Below are 21,269 nucleotides of genomic sequence, written 5' to 3' on the forward strand. Positions count from 1 at the left end.
AAAAAAAAAAAAGGAAAGAAAAACTGCCCATAGGGGATCAAAATACTGATTTAGTCAATCCTTTGGAAAAAATGCAGTCACATTGATTGGTCAGCTCCATATAAAAATAGTTTTCTTCTGACTCCCTGTTGTTTTCTTTATTAATGGGAAGGTTCATTTCTGAAACTTATTTTTACCCTTGAAATTATAAATCCTTTTATGTGAGCTTGTGAGGGAAATTATAAATCCTTTTATGTGTGCTTGTCGGGGGAGGGTTGAAAAATTACCTTTTGAGTACAGTGTTCACTGTTCGGGTGATGGGTGCACTAAAAGCCCAGACATCACCACTATGCAATATATGCATGTAAGAAGGCTGTACTTGTACCCCCTAAATATATTTTTTAGTTTTTTAAAAATTAAAAAAATGTGGAAAAATAAATACATAAAATCGTGTGTAACGTGAAATTGTATGTATCTATCACATCTGTTATTTTTGATGCTGATGTATTTTATAAGTATCTATTTTAATTAAGAGCCAAGATCATTTCTAACATTTATTGTTAAAATAGGTGCTGTTCCTATAATCAGATGTTCAAGAGGAACAGCAGCAGAAATGGTAGCAGTGGTAAGTTCATGCGGATATCACGTGGAGATAAATAACATTGTGTGAATTGTTTTCCCACAAGTAACGCAACTGTTTTGTTAATATTTAAATATATGATTGCTTGGTTGTAGGTACCAATAGCAAATATTTTTATTTTATTACATTGAGATTGCACCGAAGATAAAAAGTAATCATTTATTTCCACACGAGAAAGTAAAATTATTTACTCCGGTGTGCTATTCCAGTCCTATTTCTTTTTTTAAAACTAAAATGTATATTCCTCATTCAACCTTGTCTCTCCAAGCAGTATTTTACACTTATTTGATCCCCCAGATTACTTAATATTTAACTTCATTTAGCAAATATTACTAATCATAACCATTTTTAAAATGAAGTGCTTTTTGCTATCCCACTATATTGAAGTAAAATATTAAGTATAAAGTAGGTGTTCATAAATTTGCTTTAAAGATTAAGAAATGAGTAAGGGATTAGAGAAATTATAGAATTACTGAAAAAGAAGGAGGTATTTTGGAACTTTATTAGCCCAAGTGAATTACTGACTGGTGGAAGACTGCCTTCTTTCATATATTCCATTTCTCTTCTGAGGCTTCTTGTACCCACCACTACTTTGTTCACTCCTACCCACCCAAGTCAACGTTTTCTCCATATAGACACCTTCCTTGATAAAACAGTCATGCTTAGGAAAAGAGTGTGCGTCATTACTGCAAATCGTTTCCCATAGCCAAAGTAAAATTAGTCAATGAAAGGTTCTTCTTAGTGACATCAGGCCCGACTCACAGTGGAAAAGGCACTGATCTTTGTTAAGTCCAAGTTATGATGATATGGAAGTGGTAAGACGGAGCTAAAATATTTAGATATTAGATTTGCTATTTGTAAAGAAATTCCAGGTTTCTTGGTTATGAAACTAAAAACACATTTTGAATTAACCTCCATAAAGTTATATGAAACTGTTAAGAGTTAATCTAAAATTTTATTTTTCAGAAACTAGACAAGAAACTTCGAGAAAATCTAAGAGATGCAAGAAACAGTCTTTTTACAGGTGATACACTTGGAGCTGGCCAATTCAGGTATTACTGTTATTAAATACACTTGTAAGACTTTAAAATATTTGTAGAGTTTTTTTGTTACTTTTCTTGGCTGATAGAATATCCTTGTAATTGAAATTTGTTTCTTTTTAATGAGCTAATCAGGATCAAGGTTTTGACTCATATTGTTCTTAAAATACAAGTGGAATATTTTATTCAATTTACCTTTTGGTAAAAATTTCTAAGCATTTTATCATCTATAAGAAAAATTTTTCTGTGTATAAGGCTTTGAAGGTCAGAAGCCATTTTCTTTCAATTATCATTAAACCGCTTGGTTATTTTTCACAGAGTGAAAAACTTGTGATACTTATATCTGTTTCTACCTTTATTAATCTGATTTCCATTTTATACTTAAATACTAATAGCCTAAACTTGAAAAACATTTTATTATTGTTAGCATTTCTAGCATAAGTAAGGCCAATGTTTTTGGCTGCTTATTATTGAATAGAAATACTAAAAAACCCTATACATTATAGTATATTTAACTTCTGATTGTTAATAGTAATGGAGTAAAGAAGTAAAGAAACCCACTCAAATGGCTGAGAATTGTTTAAAGAAGAGATTATATTCTGGAAAATTAATTCTTAACCCCAGTTTAGATGAATTAATAAATAAAGCCCAAAATAAACAGATGCCCAGAGAAATAACTGCCCACTAGAAGTAATAATTTCATAATAACTTTCTGTAGACTTCATCTCAAGTCAATTTGGTGTCTCCTACAGCCTTATAAACTGCTTGTATAATTGGGAGTTCACACTAACACTGTGTTTCAATTGTTTGGTTAACTGTCTCAGTTTCCACATTATTTTAAATGGTTCTATGATTTCATTTCTGGTCTTAAGTATTCTTCAAAATGTTTCTCATTAGGTAGAAGAAAAACATCAAATTCTCACCTGATCTTTTTTTTTTTTTAACAGAACCAACCACTGTGTCATATCTTACTTAATAGTTCCCTTTTTATAGCTCTCTGGGATAGGCCTTAGAAACCAGTATAAAGGCACTGTTTTATTTGGATAATTTTTTTAAATTTATTCACATTATCATAATATGGGCGTCTTGTTTCTCAACTTGTTGGATCTATTTCTTAATCATTTTCCTTAGTGGTCACAACCTTGCTGGACTATTGTTAAATACATTTGAATCCAACCATAGGCTGGTGATTTTCAACTAAGGGCAGTTTTTGCCTCCCATAGCCATTTGGTAATGTCTGGAGACATGTTTGGTTGTCATAACTGGTAGGTGTTACTAGAATCTTGTATACATTGTAGGATGCTGCTAAACATCCTATAATGCACACCACAACCCCCTATAACAAGAAATTATCCAGCCCCAAATGTCAGCAGTTCTAGGGTTAAGAAACCCTGCGGTAGGCCATCCTCCCTTACCTTCCATCTAGCTCTGGTAAATCATAGTAGATCGCAAGGGTGCCACTCTGACTTTTTATCCCCGAGTCAATGCAGTTAGGAAATCCACTGTCCTATACCCAGAAGAGTGTAATGAGTTAATTCTATTGCGAAAGGAAATATGTAAACAGATAGTGATGCCTTTTGAAAAGTGGTGCGTACTCCTGATATGATAGTGCCTCTAAAGCAGATCTCTAAAACTTCTGTAGACACATGATAACCAAATGACTGTGCCTCAATTTGCTTTCGGTGGTACTTTATTTCACATCTAAATTGTAATAATGGAGCAACAGTACATGAGGTATCATATGCCTTCTCTGTTAAGGGGATAATAATATAATTAGGTACCATTATGGCATTATGTTTTCATTTTGTATATTATAGTGGTATAGCGTTTTTTGAGGCTCTTCTCCAGAGTCTGCTTGAGTTTGTGTTTATAGGAAAAAAATTATAATTTATGAAACTGTCAAACATTTGTGTAAATTTATAAGCTCCTACTCTTTGTTTTCCCTGAAGCTGACAATAACTATTCCTTATTGCCTTTTTTTACAGAAACATCAAAAACTTCTGAGTAGAAGCAGCTTATTATTTTGCTAACCACAAAAATTATTCTTTAGAAATATTTATATAGATTTTTTTCCTTAAAGTTTCCTGGCAGGGCATGATAGTTCACACCTGTAATCCTAGTACTTTGGGAGGCCAAGGTGGGAGGATCACTTGAGCCTAGGAGTTCAAGACCAGCCTGGGCAATGTGGTTAGTTGCCCCGTCTCTAAAAAAAATTTAAAAATTAGCCAAGAGTGGTGGTGCACACCTGGAGTCTCAGCTAATTGGGAGACTGAGGTGGGAGGATTACTTGAGCCTGGGAAGTCAAGGCTGCAGTGACCTGTGATTGTGCCACTACACTCCAACCTGGGTGACAGAGTCTCAAAAAAAAAAATAAAGTTTCCTAAGTAAAATTTATAATCTGGCATCATACACAAGCTGTAACTAGTCCAAAGCATTACTGTAATTGTGTGACCACGTTAAATTTGTTTTTTAAAAGCCAGCCTCCCCCGTCTCTATAAAAATGTTTAAAAATTAGCCAGGTGTGTGATGGTGCATGCCTGTAGTCCCAGCTACTCCAGAAACCAAGGCAGAAGGATTGCTTGAGCCCAGGAGTTCAAGGCTGCAGTTAGCTATGATCGCGCCACTGCACTCCAGCCTGGGTGACATAGCAAGACCCTGTCTCAACAAAAAGCAAAGTATTGTGGTGCTTGCTTCAGCAGCACATATACTAAAAAACAAAGTATTAGGAATTGTCAATATTAGCATACTATTATTCATATCAAAATGGCATATACTGGAAAGTAGTAGAATATTTTAGATGTATACACTGGTATCAAGAGTTATGTAATTTTTTTATATGTATATTTACAGCTTCCAGAGGCCCTTATTAGTCCTTGTTGACAGAAACATAGATTTGGCAACTCCTTTACATCATACTTGGACATATCAAGCATTGGTGCACGATGTACTGGTAAGAGACTAAATGCAGCACTTATTACTGAAATATAGTAACATGCAGTGTTCCCTTTAATTTAAAATTAACATCATGGCTACAGAAACAAAAATGAGAAGGATGGAACTGAGACCTATGAACAAAACAAGTGATGGGATTTGGTATTACTGGGTGTGGATGCTGGAAAATGTGAAGCATTAAAGTTTAGTTTCAAATTTATGATCTTTATAGGGTAAAGTAGTGGTTTTGTTGGCCATGGAAAAGAAGGAAAAGAAAACAATTGAAGAAAATGGATTATTTTGTTTTATTTTTAATTTTCTAACCGAATAAGTAAATAAATGTGTTCTCCCTTAGGAGAAAAGCAGTAATTTCTCCCTTTTCTCTGGGAGTCAGTTAAACCTCATTTTACGTTAAAAAAAAAATAGTATTTTTTATGTTACACCATATGTTTTCTGAAGTAATTCCACATATCTGATTTTATGCTTATAGCAAAAATTTGTATTTATGCATATGTAAATTTAGCTGCTAAGTGTTGTGTTTAGCATGTGACATACACAGGTGATAAAACACGGCTTCAGTCTTCAAAGACAATGGAAAGAAAATAGGTACACAAATAATTTCTCTATGAGACACTATGTAATCAGGCCAGAATAGTCTCTATTTGATAGACAGACGTTAAAGAATTTGAACTCAAATCATGGGCTTTGTTAAAACTAACACTGTAGTTTACTAACTCCTAGCTCAGGACTCTAGGGATTACACTATATAATCATATCATGATAGTAAAGACTGCCCAACATGTCATATAAACAGGGAATGAAAGCTGAGTGTAGTGGCTCATGCCTATAATCCCAGCACTTTGGGAGGCCAAGGCAGGCGGATCACATGAGGCCAGGAGCTAAAGACCAGCCTGGCCAACGTGGCGAAATCCTGTCTCTATTGAAAATACAAAAATTAGCCAAGCGTGGTGGCACACGCCTGTAATCCTAACTATTTGGGTGGCTGAGGCTTGAGAATTGCTTGAACCCAGGAGGCGGAGGTTGCAGTGGGCCAAGATTGTGCCACTGCACTCCAGCCTGGGTGACAGAGCAAGACCTAGTCTCAAAAAAAAAAAAAAAAGGAAATGAAAGACATGCAATAGATGATTTGGTTTATTTCTTTAAAACCTGGATATTGGCTCTAAAGTGTTTATTTAAATAAATCAGATTTAGAATTACTGATGGAAATTGGCCATTCTTCTATGCCATGACTCTAGGATGAGTGTCGAAGAAATAGCAGTCAACTTTAATTCAGTAGACAGGGCAAGAAGAATCAAAGGGACTCTTAAATTAAACCCTAAGTAGTAGAACATGGAATCAGGCTTTAGGAGGTCAAGTAAGAGGTGGGAGAGGAGGAATTCAGTTCTACCAATATTTGAGTGCCTACTCTTTAACACACTTTCTAAACCCTGGCTTCAATAGTAACAAAAACAATAGCTTTCCTGTCTTTCTAGAGCTTACATTCTAGTAGGGGAAACAGGCAATAAAGAAAATAAAACTTGCAGCATTTCAGAAGGTGGAAGATACCCTGAAAGACAGTAAAGTAGATAATGGTGAACAGGAGTGAAATTTTAAAACAGGGAAGTTCTCACTGATAAAATGACATTTGAGTAAAGATCTAAAGGAGGTAAGGTAGTGAATTATATAGCTATGTGGGAAAAGAACATAAGCAGAAGGATGACTAATATGTTTGGAAAATGGCAGGGCAGCCAGATGGCTACAATGAAGAGAGGCAGGGGAAGAGAAGCAGGAGAAAAGGTTAAATAAATAGGACCCAGGAAGCAATATAATACAGGACTCTAGGGATTATAGTATATGATTGTATTGTGATTGTAAAGGCCATTGACTTTAATTTGATGGAAATGGGGAACCACATGGGATTCTAATATACATTTGAAGACTGTCACTCTAGCTGTTATACTGAAAATGGACTCCTTGGGGGCACAGGAAGAGCAAGATCGGTTAGGAGGCTGTTGCAGTTATCTTAGCTGAGATGATAGCAGCTTATAGCAGGACAGAAATGGTAAGGGCTGTGTTTTTTATACTGACTGTAGAGTATAGGATTTGCTGATAAGTTAGATGTGGGAGTTAGATGTAGAGAGAGAGAGAACTCAAAGATGACTCCAAGGTTTTAGCCTTTGCAAATGGCAAGACGTTGTTGTTTAGTGGGATGGAAAAGGCAGTTTCCCCAGGGAAGATCAGATGTTTAGTTTTGGGTATGTTAAATGTGAGATGCCGGCCAGGCATGGTGGCTCATACCTGTAATCTCAGCACTTGGGGAGGCCAAGGCAGGAGGATCACGTGGGCCCAGGAGTTCAAGACCAGCCTGGCAACATAAGGAAGCACCATCTTTACAAAAAATAAAAATTAGTGACTTGTGGTGGCACACCTACTCAGGAGGCTTAGGTGGGAGGATCAGTTGATCCCCAACAGGTTGTGGCTACTACAGTGAACTGTGATCACATCACTGTCCTCCAGCCTGGGTAACAGAGTAAAGACCCTGTCTCAAAAAAAAAAAAATGAGGTGCCCATTAAGATATCAAAATGTAAATGTTGAGTAGGTAGTTACATGAGTCTGGAGTTCAGGAAAAAAGTCTGGTCCTCAGCCTCCCAAAGTGCTGAGATTACAAGCATGAGCCACTGCACCCGGACAGAAAATATTTTTAAATGACGGAAATTACAACATGTTTGTATACTAATGGGAATGATCCAAACAGCGAAGTTAATGATGCAGGAGATAAGAGCGTCCTGCAGGTGGCATTAGTGAGCACTGTGGACCAGGATTTCTCAACCTTGGCATTATTGACGTTTTGGACCTGATCATTCTTTGTTGGGGGGCAGGGGGAGCTGTCCTGTGCATTGTAGGATGTTTAGCATCATTCCTGGCCTTGACTCTCTAGGTGCCAGTGGAACTCCCTCAGTTGTGACAATCAAAACGTCTTACACACGCCAATTATACCCCGGGTGGCAGAAAGGGGCAAAATTGCCCAATTGAGAACCATGGTTACAGGCTGACAACATGAGTTTCAAAGCTAGTTTTAGGAAAGAGGGCAAGTAAAGAGTCTGGGAGTAGCAAGGAAGACACCTAATTCCAGTCTCAGATCCAGTGGTATGAGCTGTGAGAGGTTAAAGAAAAAAAAAAATCAGGTTCCCATTTGAGAAGGCTCCAGGGGTTAGCCAGTTGGAGTTCAATTAGAGCAAGAAAGAACAGGGAAAGTTTAGAGAGGATGTTCAGAATAGGAGATTTTGCTGATGACTGAGTATGGGTTCCAGAAGTGATGACAGGATTTCTAGAGTAGGGTAAGAATAGGAGATGGGGTCTCAGTGGGATTGGAGGTTAAAGAGTTGTACAGGGATTAATGGGCATAATAAGATAGTATTGGTAGTCTCAAATCATATTTGGTTGGTGGGGCCCTTACTGTTGGGTAGGAGCAAGGGGCAAGTGTCTTAATAAGAGCATAGCATACAGATCACGGGTGCCTCATCACACCTGCCAGTGGTGTTGGTGTTAAGGCAATCTAAAACACCGAGATGTCTAGGGATCCTTTCCAATTCTTGAACTTTAAGAGTCCCTGGGCTCCCTCTTCATTCCCCTGGATGGAGGAAATTAAAGTACAGGGTGCTTTGAGTACAGGAGATAAGACACATGTACAAATAATTGCAACATAAAAAGGGTAGACTCAGTCTCCATTGTCAGAAGAGGAAATTGGGAAATATAACTTAGGGCAGAGATTCCCTAAAACCAAACAAGGATAATACTGGTCCTTGATGAGGTTTTCACTGTTTCAGAATGAGATGAGAATAAAAAGGACTATGAAATGTGTTTTTATACTGGCCTTTATACAATTTTTATTTCCTACTATTTGAAGTGAAAATATCCTTTTAAAAATAAAAGGTGGTGAAAGTAGATGGTAGAGTTTTTTTGTTTAATCTTCACATAAAAAGTTGGGAATCTTTGAAGAGGTTGGTTATAATTAACTATGCAACTTAAAATGACTTAATTCTGTTTATTAATCTTAATGCAGTTTCTGGATATGAACAAACTATAACTGAGATGTCATAAATTATAATCACAAAAATTTTTGTTGATTGCTAAACCTGCTACTTTTGAAGGTCTTCAGAGCTTTTAAAACGCTTAATAATTATACCCTTTGCCTCCACAAGATGGAGTAAGTAAATAGTAAATGTTAACTTAAAATTGCAGTTTACTTTTTATATTAAATGTCTTTGCCTGAAAATCTGCACCATTGATAATTGTTTATATATTAGAACTTACAAACAACTATGAAAATTCACACAGCTTCCCTCTGTGTCAGAAAGATGATTTTTCTCATTTTAAACGGGAAATACACACTTCTGGTTAAAAAAAAAAAGAAAAAGCAACTTTGCAGTGCCCATCTCCTTTTATTGGGATATAAGAAGCAAAATTAGTAATTAGAAGCCCTGATTCTTTTTTATTATATCTTGGTTGCAGGAGAGGTGGATTTGATTGTTCAGCTGCAGAGCTGTGGACTTCAGTCAAAGGGATGGACATTATTTTATCTCTGTTTTTTTACTTGGCCTTTATTTTTTCAAATCTTAGGTTCTCTTTTTGTACCTTTCACCCTCTGCTACTGACTCTTATTATTTGAAACATTAAATCGGAAGTTATACTAATAGACATAGGGACTTTAATTAAAGTTTACCTTTTTTTCCAGTCAAGAATAAAAAAAAAATGGTTTCCAAATAAATATGTATTTTTTAAAAGGTTGTAAGAGAAGCATTTTTTTTATTTTTTATTTTATTTATTTATTTATTTTTTTGAGATGGAGTCTTGCCCCGTCGCCCCGGCTGGAGTGCAGGAGTGCGATCTCGGCTCACTGCAACCTCTGCCTACCAGGTTCGAGCGATTCTCCTGCCTCAGCCTCCTGAGTAGCTGGGACTACAGGCATGTGCAACCATGCCCGGCTAATTTTTGTATGTTTAATAGAGATGGGGTTTCGCCATGTTAGCCAGACTGCTCTAGAATTCCTGACCTCAGGTGATCCACCTGCCTCAGCCTCCCAAAGTGCTGGGATTACAGGCGTGAGCTAACGCACCTAGCTAAGATTATAGCTAATGCACCTAGCTAAGGTTATAAGAGAAGCACTTCAGGAACACCTATTTCCTTAAAGACGTGTGATTGCAATGTAACAGGTGCCTAGATATAGTTCAAGATTGATGCTTTGGGTCCAAGGTTGACATTCTTTGATCCTCTAATCTTTATTAACACAAAACCTCTTGGTCAGCACTATGTAGCCTAATTTCAAGCATTTGCCTAAAAGTCAAAAGTGTAATGTAAACTTTTACTCATTTAATCCAAGCAAATATATATTTTACTGTACTTGATAGGAAGTGTCTACTGAAGGTCTGTAGGCTATGTAAAAGCCCAAAAGATATCCCTGATTTCATTCACTTTTTAAAAATAGCAGTGTTTCAGTATATCTCCATATTTGTTGCTGTGTCTGAACTTGGATTGAATTTTTATTTAATCTAAGGGAGAAAAAGAGTATGTACTATTTACTGATCTAACTGTAGCTGCTATAGTTTTTTTTTTTTTTTTTGCCTTATATTCTAGTTGTATAACATTTGTCTATATGATGGAACATTTTACAAAGTTTTAATAATATATTTTATAATCAAATATATTCAAAATATTTGCATTTCAACATAATATAGGATCATGTAATCAATTAATAATTTAAGATATTAGATGTTTTCTTTTCATATTTAAGTCTTATATATTTTACATTTACATCACATCTCAATTCAGACTAACCACATTGAAGGTACTCAGTAGCCACCTGTGACTATTGGCGACTGTATTGGACAGTGCAATTCTAAATCATAAGACCCAAATTCTTTACTACTTTTAGAGATTGAATGAATTGCTTATGAGTTGAAATTATCACATGAAGACTGGTAGAAATGTTTGCATATGGCCGGCAATGTATCTGGTGGGTGGGAGGGTTCCAGCTCATGAGTCCTAGGGTTGTAAACAGCTCTGCTTTAATAAAAATGAACAAGCTTCCCAAATATATTGCTGATGCTGTAAAGAATACCTTGGCCTCTGAATTAAGATAGGTTAGGTTGTGCTACTTAGTCTAACCCTCTAACCTCAGTGGCATAAAATAATAAAGATTTTTTTTTCTTGGTCATAGTATTTATTGTTCCTTGTCCAGTATGGATGAGCAAAACGATTGTGGGTTGTACTTCATATTTTTAGGTTCTGGTATGAATAAAATTTTTTAAACTTTTACTAGGGAATATTTCAAATAACACAAATACAGAGAATACTGTAATGAACTCATGTTTACATTGTTCAGCTTCCCTGGTATTATATGATCTAAGCATGAATACTTCAGCATGTATCTATTTTTTAAAGTTATAATTTTACGCAACAAAATTAATGATAATTTCCTGGTGATATACCCGCTCTGTATTGATTGTTTCAAAGATGCTTCTTTACAGTTGGCTTGTTCAAATAAGGATCCAGAAATACATCTATACATGGCATTAGTTGATATGGCTCTTAAATCTCTCAGTTCCTCCCTCCTCACTTCTTTTTAATTGCCATTTTTTGATTGAAAGAATTAGGTCATTTTTCTATAGAATTTCCTACATTTTGGCATTTGGCTGATTGTATCCTTTTGTATTCCCGATACTTTCTGTAAACTAATTGATTGTGGAAATTGATTAGATCTCATTCAATTCTTTGTCAAGGCCACTTTAACTAGCAGTGTTCTTTAGTTTCTGTTTTATTACATCAGGAGGTACATAATGTCTGTTTGTCCTAATGTTAGTGAACAGATTGATCAGTAGTTTCAGGTATTGTCAGCATGATCCATCCATTAAGGGTTCTCCATAAATCTTTTACCTAAAGGTTTAAATGTCACTGATAATTATTGCCTCTTTATTTTAATTACTGATGGCAAATGGTGATTTTCTGTTATTCCTCCTCCATCTTTTTAGCCAACATGCTTATATAAATAACTTTTTTTTTTTATCACCTACTTAGGACAAATGCTTGTCTTCCTTTGTCAATTTTCAGAATTAGTGAGTACCCTAGTAATTTGCAGAGACAATCAATAAAGTCATTTGTTTAAGTATCATTTTATGAACTAACAGATTTTTATATTTGAGATGTTTTTACACTATTACAGTTGTTCATTTTGATGCTTGAATTATCTCGTTTTTGGCCTATCATGTTGGCCTTGATAGCTTCTTGACATAACCCCATCAGTCTTTGATAGTTTCTTTGCTTCCTGGTATGAAAAATATCCTAAGCTAATCATATTCATTTTCTGCCTCAGACCTGGCTGCATCCGTTTCTCAAAAAGCCTCTGGTTCCTTTGAGTAACAAATAGTGGATACCACAGTCTGGGCTATTAGCGCTGTTTATTTCTACTGGGATACTTTTGCTTCCAGACATTTTCCATGGCGAAAAAGACAGCATCTTCCAGTTTTCTCATTCTCTGAGATTAAAGAACCCATTTTTTTAATAACAAGTAGCATTGTGAAATTGTAAAATTACATTAGTGACTGTTGACTTTGCACACAATTTGAAAGCATCAATGGAAGGCTGAGTCTTCCTGTTTCTTCCTAACAAACATGTTTTAATCCTTGCTCTACTCGAGTTTCGTTTGAGAGACTGATTTGTGTGAACCAAAGAAACCAGATGACTGTTATGTAAAGCAGAAAATATTTGGATTTAAATTGTTAGATGGATTAAAACCACATATCATCACCATGACTGGGAGTTTTGTTTCTTCAGCCACTCAGGACAGCTGTGCCATTATAAATTTACATTTATATCATTTTAGCTAGAAGCCCATCTTAATATATATGTATCTGTTGTAGAGTGATGGATGTCAAATAACATCTGATGTGTAACTCGTTCTCTAGAGTAAAGCTTCTGATCTCTTCTCATTGAGTTCCATAGTTATCCATGCTCTTTGAGGGTAGGAAATTGTTTATTGGTTGTGTATAATTGATGTCTCCGTAAGAAATAGAATTACAGTCTCTAGGAGCTTCTGTAAATTGTGTCGTTAGAGGCATTATCACCACTTTATCAAATGTTGAACAGAAACTGGTTTTGAAGCATTTAGGAAGAGTAGAAATAAGTTTTAAACTCCCTTTTGCTTAGGTGTCTAGTCTTTAACATTTTCTCTTGTGGAAATTAGTTTTAGGGATGAGCTTTGAAAAATAAATTTTTCACATAATGCTTTAATTTTCCCTAAATCCAATTGAAACTGTTATAGGTATTGAAACCCTGATATATTAGTCTGTTGATTTATCTTATGAAGGCAATGATCCTTATTCCTGTCTTAGAATTCTATCTTCTGTTTAATATATTAAAGATCATATTTTGTCTTTTACCCACCTTTGGCAAAAAGTGATGAAACTCACAGCTTTTATTTTACAATTAAAATCTTAAGTATGAAAGAAATAATTGTGATTTACAGGAGGAATATTTGCCTGCTTTAGAGAAAATACACACAAATGTATTCATGTGCATTAAACATTTTCTTTATCATTTCTTCTCTCATTGGTGTCAACCCTATTCCCCAAACTATTTAACTCCTAAGATGAAGATTTTCTCCAGAGAAAATGCTTCTTTTTGGAGATGAGAATTCTCCCTAGGTTTGTGTGCAAGGATGAGACAATATAGGTGTGCTCATCTTCAAATGACTGATGGGACATTTCTTTAATGTAGGCGAGGATGGAAGCCAAAGCTGTGGAAGATGTTGGTGGAGCCAATGGGTAGTTTCCTTTCCTCTTCCTCACATCCCTTAGTTCTGTTCACTTCCATCGTTATCAAGAAGTATTTATATGTGTTCCCTAGTTTTAAATAGATTCTCCCTTGTATTTTATTTCTCTTGTTGGTTAATTTGATAGTGGAAGTTGAAGACTCACCTTAGTGTGTCACCTCAATATGAAAATTCTGGCATTGTGTTTATGACTCCAAAGTACATCTGTTGAAACAATAGATGTTTAATGATTGCTGTAATAGCATTTAGAGTTGAGATAGTAAATTCTTGCCAAAATAAAAGATATTTTTATTTTACTTTCCTTTTCTTTGCCTGTGAACTGCAAGTCTGCATAAATAGGTATTGCCTATATTATCCAGAGATTATTTTGTTAACATTAACTCTCTCTGGCTCTACTGATTGCTCTAACTTGGGAAAAGAAAACAAGACTGCTGAAGGCTTCTACATGTTTTTAGCATTTCCTGATGGGATCTATTTATATGTAGTGATTTGGGGCACCTTTGTCCTATCTTCTAAGTTAGGAAAATGTGACTGTCAATGGAAACAGATTAGACTCTATCATGTTAAAACTAATTCTGTTGTCTTATTTGTGTATAAACGTTCAGTTGCTTTAACATGATTGAGTACAGCACAGGATGTTTTAATTTCCTAACTTGGAAGATTGAAATTACCTTTATTTGCCTTACTATTATGCAAACAATGGAAATATCCTTGCTATTAAATTACTTCTCAGAATTCTTAACATCTTTTATTCCTTTATTATTTTGTGTTTTAAGTATTCCATCAATACTTCAGTAATAACATGCTTTCCTACTTTTAGAGCAGTAATTTTGCTAGCAAGTTAACTTTATTTTGAATGAGCTGTGTCATCACCATGGAAATAGTACTTCACTAGAAATTCTAGTTAATAAAACTTAACTGTTTAAAGATGTTTCTCTTCAATATCTTTTATTTTGTTAGATAGTTTTTTAAATCTAAGGTTCTTTCCAGATGTAGCTGTTACTGTTTAAAATAGTTTTCCACAATTGTGCTATTTTTACTTTCTCTCTATATGGATGATTTTTGTGCAAAGTGAAGTTTAGATACGAGGATGGGAAACTGAGAGGATTAAGTAAAGTCACTTTCTTGCCCTATGATAATATGAGGGGTCTATAGGAAAAACAGTAATAGAGTGAAATATACTAAACTTTCGTCATTCCAACCATTTATTGTAACTCTCTAGTCTTTAAATTGCCTATTTTTCACCTGAGGCTACCCATGTTCTGCACTACAGGGAATTTCAAGTGATAGAATCTAATTCCACTCACTCTGTTCTCACTGTGATACAACTAAAACATAATGCTTAAAAGCACTGCCTCTGAAGTCAGACTGCCTAGATTTTAATCTTGATTCTGCCACATATTTATGTATAACTTTGGACAATTAACTTCTTTATGCCTCAGTTTTTTCATCTTGAATGGGAATTTTATTACTGCTTCTACAGGTTATTGTAAGGATCAAATGACTTAATATAAGGTGCTAAGAATAGTGCCTTGCAAATGAAAGATAGCCATGCTTCTGAACAAAAGGCAGCAGAAACTTCTGCAGACTTAAACGTCCCTGTCTGACAGCTCTGAAGAGAGCAGTGGTTCTCCTAGCATGGTGTTTGAGCTCTGAGAATGGACAGACTGCCTCCTCAAGTGGATCCCTGACCCCTGTGTAGGCTAACATGGAGACATCTCCCAGTAGGGGCTGACTGACACCTCATACACCCGGGCGCCCCTCTGAGATGAAGCTTCCAGAGGAAGGATCAGGCAGCAATATTTGTTGTTCTGCAACATTTGCTGTTCTGCAGCCTCCGCTGGTGATTACCCAGGCAAACAGGGTCTGGAGTGGACCTCCAGCAAACTCCAACAGACCTGCAGCTGAAGGACCTGTTAGAAGGAAAACTAACAAGCAGAAAGGAATAGCATCAACCTCAACAAAAAGGACATCCACACCAAAACTGCATCTGTAGGTCACCATCATCAAAGACCAAAGGTAGATAAAACCACAAAGATTGGGAGAAAACAGAGCAGAAAACCTGGAAATTCTAAAAACCAGAGCGCCCCTTCTTCTCCAAAGGATTGCAGCTCCTCGCCAGCAACGGAACAAAGCTGGACGGAGAATGATGAGTTGACAGAAGTAGGCTTCAGAAAGTCGATAATAACAAGTTTCTCCAAGCTGAAGGAGGATGTTTGAACCGGTCACAAGGAAGCTAAAAACCTTGAAAAAAGATTAAAAGAATGGCTAACTAGAATAAACAGTGTAAAGAAGACCTTAAATGACCTGATGGAGCTGAAAACCATGGCACGAGAACTACGTGATGCATGCACAAGCTTCAGTAGCCAATTCGATCAAGTGGAAGAAAGAGTATCAATGATTGAAGATCAAATTAACGATATGAAACAAGAAGAGAAGTTTAGAGAAAAAAAGAGTAAAAAGAAATGAACAAAGCCTCCAAGAAATGTGGGACTATGTGAAAAGACCAAATCTGCGTTTGATTGGTGTACCTGAAAGTGACAGGGAGAATGGAACCAAGTTGGAAAACACTCTTCAGGATATTATCCAGGAGAACTTCCCCAACCTAGCAAGACAGGCCAACATTCAAATTCAGGAAATACAGAGAACACCACAAAGATACTCAAGAAGAGCAACCCCAAGACACATAATTGTCAGATTCACCAAGGTGAAATGAAGGAAAAAATGTTAAGGGCAGCCAGAGAGAAAGGTTGGGTTACCCACAGAGGGAAGCCCATCCGACTAACAGTGGATCTCTCAGCAGAAACTGTACAAGCAAGAAGAGAGTGGGGGGCAATATTCAACATTCTTAAAGAAAAGAATTTTCAACTCAGAATTTCATATACAGCCAAACTAAGCTTCAGAAGTGAAGGAGAAATAAAATCCTTTACAGACAAGCAAATGCTGAGAGATTTTGTCACTACCAGGCCTGCCTTACAAGAGCTCCTGAAGGAAGCACTAAACATGGAAAGGAACAACCAGTACCAGCCACTGCAAAAACATGCCAAATTGTAAAGACCATAGATGCTAGGAAGAAACTGCATCAGCTAATGGGCAGAATAACCAGCAAATATCATAATGACAGGATCAAATTCACACATAATAATATTAACCTTAAACATAAATGGGCTAAATACCCCAATTAAAAGACACAGACTGGCAAATTGGATAAAGAGTCAAGACCCATCAGTGTGCTGTATTCAGGAGACCCATCACATGTGCAGAGACACACAAAGGCTCAAAATAAAGGGATGGAGGAAGATCTACCAAGCAAATGGAAAGCAAAAAAAAGCAGGGGTTGCAATCCTAGTCTATGATAAAAGAGACTTTAAACCAACAAAGATCAAAAGAGACAAAGAAGGCCATTACATAATGGTAAAGGGATCAATTCAACAAGAAGAGCTAACTATTGTAAATATATATGCACCTAATACAGGAGCAAAACAAGATTCATAAAACAAATCCCAGATTCACAAAACAAGTCCTTAGAGACCTACAAAGAGACTTAGACTCCCACACAATAATAATGGGAGACTTTAACACCCCACTGTCAATATTAGACAGATCAACGAGACAGAAGGTTAACAAGGATATCCAGGAATTGAACTGAGCTCTGCACTAATAGACATCTACAGAACTCTCCACCCCAAATCAACAGAATATACATTCTTCTCAACACCACATCACACTTATTCCAAAACTGACCACATAGTTGGTAGTAAAGCACTCCTCAGCAAATGTAAAAGAACAGAAATCACAACAAACTGTCTCTCAGACCACAGTGCAATCAAACTAGAACTCAGGATTAAGAAACTTACTCAAAACCGCACAACTACCTGGAAACTGAACAACCTGCTTCTGAATGACTAATGGGTAAATAACGAAGGCAGAAATAAAGATGTTCTTTGAAACCAATGAGAACAAAGACACAACATACCAGAATCTCTGGGACACATTTAAAGCAGTGTGTAGAGGGAAATTTATAGCACTAAATGCCCACAAGAGAAAGCGGGAAAGACCTAAAACTGACACCCTAACATCACAGTTAAAAGAACTAGAGAAGCAAGAGCAAACACATTCAAAAGCTAGCGGAAGGCAAGAAATAACTAAGATCAGAGCAGAAATGAAGGAGATAGAGACACAAAAAACCCTTCAAAAAAATCAATGAATCCAGGAGCTGGTTTTTTGAAAAGATCAACAAAATTGATAGACTGCTAGCAAGACTAATAAAGAAGAAAAGAGAGAAGAATCAAATAGACGCAATAAAAAATGATAAAGGGGATATCATCACTGATCCCACAGAAATACAAACTACCATCAGAGAATACTATAAACACCTCTATGCAAATAAACTAGAAAATCTAGAAGAAATGGATAAATTCCTGGACACATATACCCTCCCAAGACTAAACTGGGAAGAATTTGAATTGCTGAATAGACCAATAACAGGCTCTGAAATTGAGGCAGTAATCAATAGCCTACCAACCCAAAAAAAAAGTCCAGGACCAGGTGAATTCACAGCTGAATTCTACCAGAGATACAAAGAGAAGCTGGTACCATTCCTTCTGAAACTATTCCAGTCAATAGAAGAAGAGGGAATCCTCCCTAACTCATTTTATGAGGCCAGCATCATCCTGATACCAAAGCCTGGCAGAGACACAACAAAAAACGAGAATTTTAGACCAATATCCCTGATGAACATCAATGCGAAAATCCTCAATAAAATACTGGCAAAGCAAATCCAACAGTACATCAAAAAGCTTATCCACCACAAACAAGTTGGCTTCATCCCTGGGATGCAAGGCTGGTTCAACATATGCAAATCAATAAACATAATCCATCATATAAACAGAACCAAAGACAAAAACCACATGATTATCTCAATAGATGCAGAAGAGGCCTTCGACAAAATTCAACAGCCCTTCATGCTAAAACCTCTCAATAAATTAGGTATTGATGGAACGTATCTCAAAATAATAAGACCTATTTATGACAAACCTACAGCCAATATCATACTGAATGGGCAAAAACTGGAAGCATTCCCTTTGAAAACTGGCACAAGACAGGGATGCCCTCTCTCACCACTCTTATTCAACATAGTGTTGGAAGTTCTGGCCAGGGCAGTCAGGCAAGAGAAAGAAATAAAGGGTATTCAATTAGGAAAAGAGGAAGTCAAATTGTCCCTGTTGGTAGATGACATGATTGTATATTTAGAAAACCCTATTGTCTCAGCCCAGAATCTCCTTAAGCTGATAAGCAACTTCAGCAAAGTCTCAGGATACAAAATCAATGTGCAAAAATCACAAGCATTCTTATACGCAAATAACAGACAAAGAGCCAAATCCTGAGTGAACTCCCATTCACAATTGCTACAAAGAGAATAAAATACCTAGGAATTCAACTTACAAGGGATGTGAAGGACCTCTTCAAGGAGAACTACAAACCACTGCTCAACGAAATAAAAGAGGACACAAACAAATGGAAGAACATTCCATGCTCATGGATAGGAAGAATCAATATCGTGAAAACGGCCATACTGCCCAAGGTAATTTATAGATTCAATGCCATCCCCATCAAGCTACCAATGACTTTCTTCACAGAATTGGAAAAAAACTAAAGTTCATATGGAACCAAAAAAGAGCCCGCATTGCCAAGTCAATCCTAAGCAAAAAGAACAAAGCTGGAGGCATCACACTACCTGACTTCAAACTATACTACAAGGCTACAGTAACGAAAACAGCATGGTACTGGTACCAAAACAGAGATATAGACCAGTGGAACAGAACAGAGGCCTCAGAAATAACACCACACATCTGCAACCATCTGATCTTTGACAAACCTGACAAAAACAAGAAATGGGGAATGGGTTCCCTATTTAATAAATGGTGCTGGGAAAACTGGCTAGCCATATGTAGAAAGCTGAAACTGGATCACTTCCTTAAACCTTATACAAAAATTAATTCAAGATGGATTAAAGACTTAAATGTTAGACCTAAAACCATAAAAACCCTAGAAGAAAACCTAGGCAATACCATTCAGGACATAGGCATGGGCAAGGACTTCATGACTAAAACACCAAAAGCAATGGCAACAAAAGCCAAAATAGACAAATGGGATCTAATTAAACTAAAGAGCTTCTGCACAGCAAAAGAAACTACCATCGGAGTGAACAGGCGGCCTACAGAATGGGAGAAAATTTTTACAATCTACCCATCTGACAAAGGGCTAATAACCAGAATCTACAAAGAACGTAAACAAATTTACAAGAAAAAAATCAAACAACCCCATCAAAAAGTGAGCGAAGGATATGAACAGACACTTTTCAAAAGAAGACATTTATGCAGCCAAAAGACACATGAAAAAATGCTCATCGTCACTGGTCATCAGAGAAATGCAAATGAAAACCACAATGAGATACCATCTCACACCAGTTAAAATGGTGATCAGTAAAAATTCAGGAAACAACAGGTGCTGGAGAGGCTGTGGAGAAATAGGAACGCTTTTACACTGTTGGTGGGAGTGTAGACTAGTTCAACCATTGTGGAAGACAGTGTGGTGATTCCTTAAGGATCTAGAACTAGAAATACCATTTGACCCAGCAATCCCATTACTGGGTATGTAGACATCTGTAATTTTTCAAATCCTGCTTTTTATGTCAAAGAGAAAAATGGCAAGGAAATAAACTATTATAAAAGATTTATTTGAGAAAGTTACAAGGTTTATGTTAAGGACCTAGAGTCAGTATTGATAACCTTGTTTTATCTAAAGGAGACTGAATTGCATTCAGTATATTTAATTTGCTAAGACCTAGAATAATCATTAATTCAAAATATATACAGATACCTTAGAACTAAGATAATTATATTTCAGTCATGCTGGATAATTTCTCCATACTGTGTCTTCCTTCTTCATCAATCATTTACTTGTTGATAGTCATGTTTTATCTTTCACTATTCTTTAGTTGGCATTAAACCATAAAATGCTGCTATTTGTGAGGGAACCCATAGATGTAATGCAAGAAGTTGGGGGAAAGAAAAAAGATACTTACTTTTATTTTTGCCTAATGGTTTTTGTGGGTTTGGTTTGGTTTGGTTTTGGGTTTTGGGGGGTTTTTTGGTTTTTTTTACAGAAAAGGTACAAAAATCAAGCCTCACGTGAATAAAATTAGTCCTAGGCAAGAAAGTTTAGCCACTACTGGCCTGACTCTTAAAGTTTGTGTGAAAGAGGGGCATCACTTATTATTATAGCATCTATTGTAATTTTTAAAATTGCAGTTCATCACTCAAGTGACACATCAGAATGTTGACTCTCTAAGAGTTTAAAAATATTTAAGATAACATTTGTTACTGGAAATGACCAAGCATCAGGAGGCCTGGTTGCATAAGTTGATTTAGCCAAACATTGGACTACTGTGTAGTTATGATAAAGATGAAGTAAATGTACATATACAGATACAGAAAGAGCTGTAAAATGTATTATTAGATGAAAAAAGATATAACATGTACCCTGTAATCCCATTTTAAAAAATAAAATTAAGAGGATGTGTATGTGCTATTATATGCATCAATGTTTTTCTAGAAGGATACACAAGCATATTGACATGTTTTTCTCTTTTTCTTGTTTGAAATTTTAATATACATCTAATACTTTCATTAAAATACAGAAACAAAATTACATTTGTATGTAACAAAAGATTGGGAGGAGATGTTTTAAATTTCAGATCTATATTTTGTCCTTGGAAACATTAGAAAGGGCAACAAGATTCTATTTTTATTAGACTTAGAAAACAGTTGTTTAACACAAGATTACTTT

General features: G+C 36.1%; 1 protein-coding gene across 14 annotated transcripts in view; it reads left to right on the forward strand.

Moving 5' to 3' along the window:
* SCFD1 (sec1 family domain containing 1) overlaps positions 1–21,269 on the forward strand; it is a 113,597-nt gene that overhangs the window by 26,726 nt on the left and 65,602 nt on the right. For all 14 annotated transcript variants that reach the window (XR_007063993.1, XR_007063994.1, XR_007063995.1 and 11 more), the window contains 3 exons: positions 549–604; positions 1,586–1,671; positions 4,510–4,609. Coding sequence is in view for 10 of the 14 variants with exons in the window: in NM_001283031.1 (NP_001269960.1) it covers positions 549–604; positions 1,586–1,671; positions 4,510–4,609 (242 nt within the window). In the remaining 4 variants the exon portion in view is untranslated. The remainder of the gene's footprint in view (positions 1–548; positions 605–1,585; positions 1,672–4,509; positions 4,610–21,269) is intronic.

Source organism: Homo sapiens, chromosome 14, assembly GCF_000001405.40.
Source record: "Homo sapiens chromosome 14, GRCh38.p14 Primary Assembly".
Taxonomy (NCBI): Eukaryota; Metazoa; Chordata; class Mammalia; order Primates; family Hominidae; genus Homo; species Homo sapiens.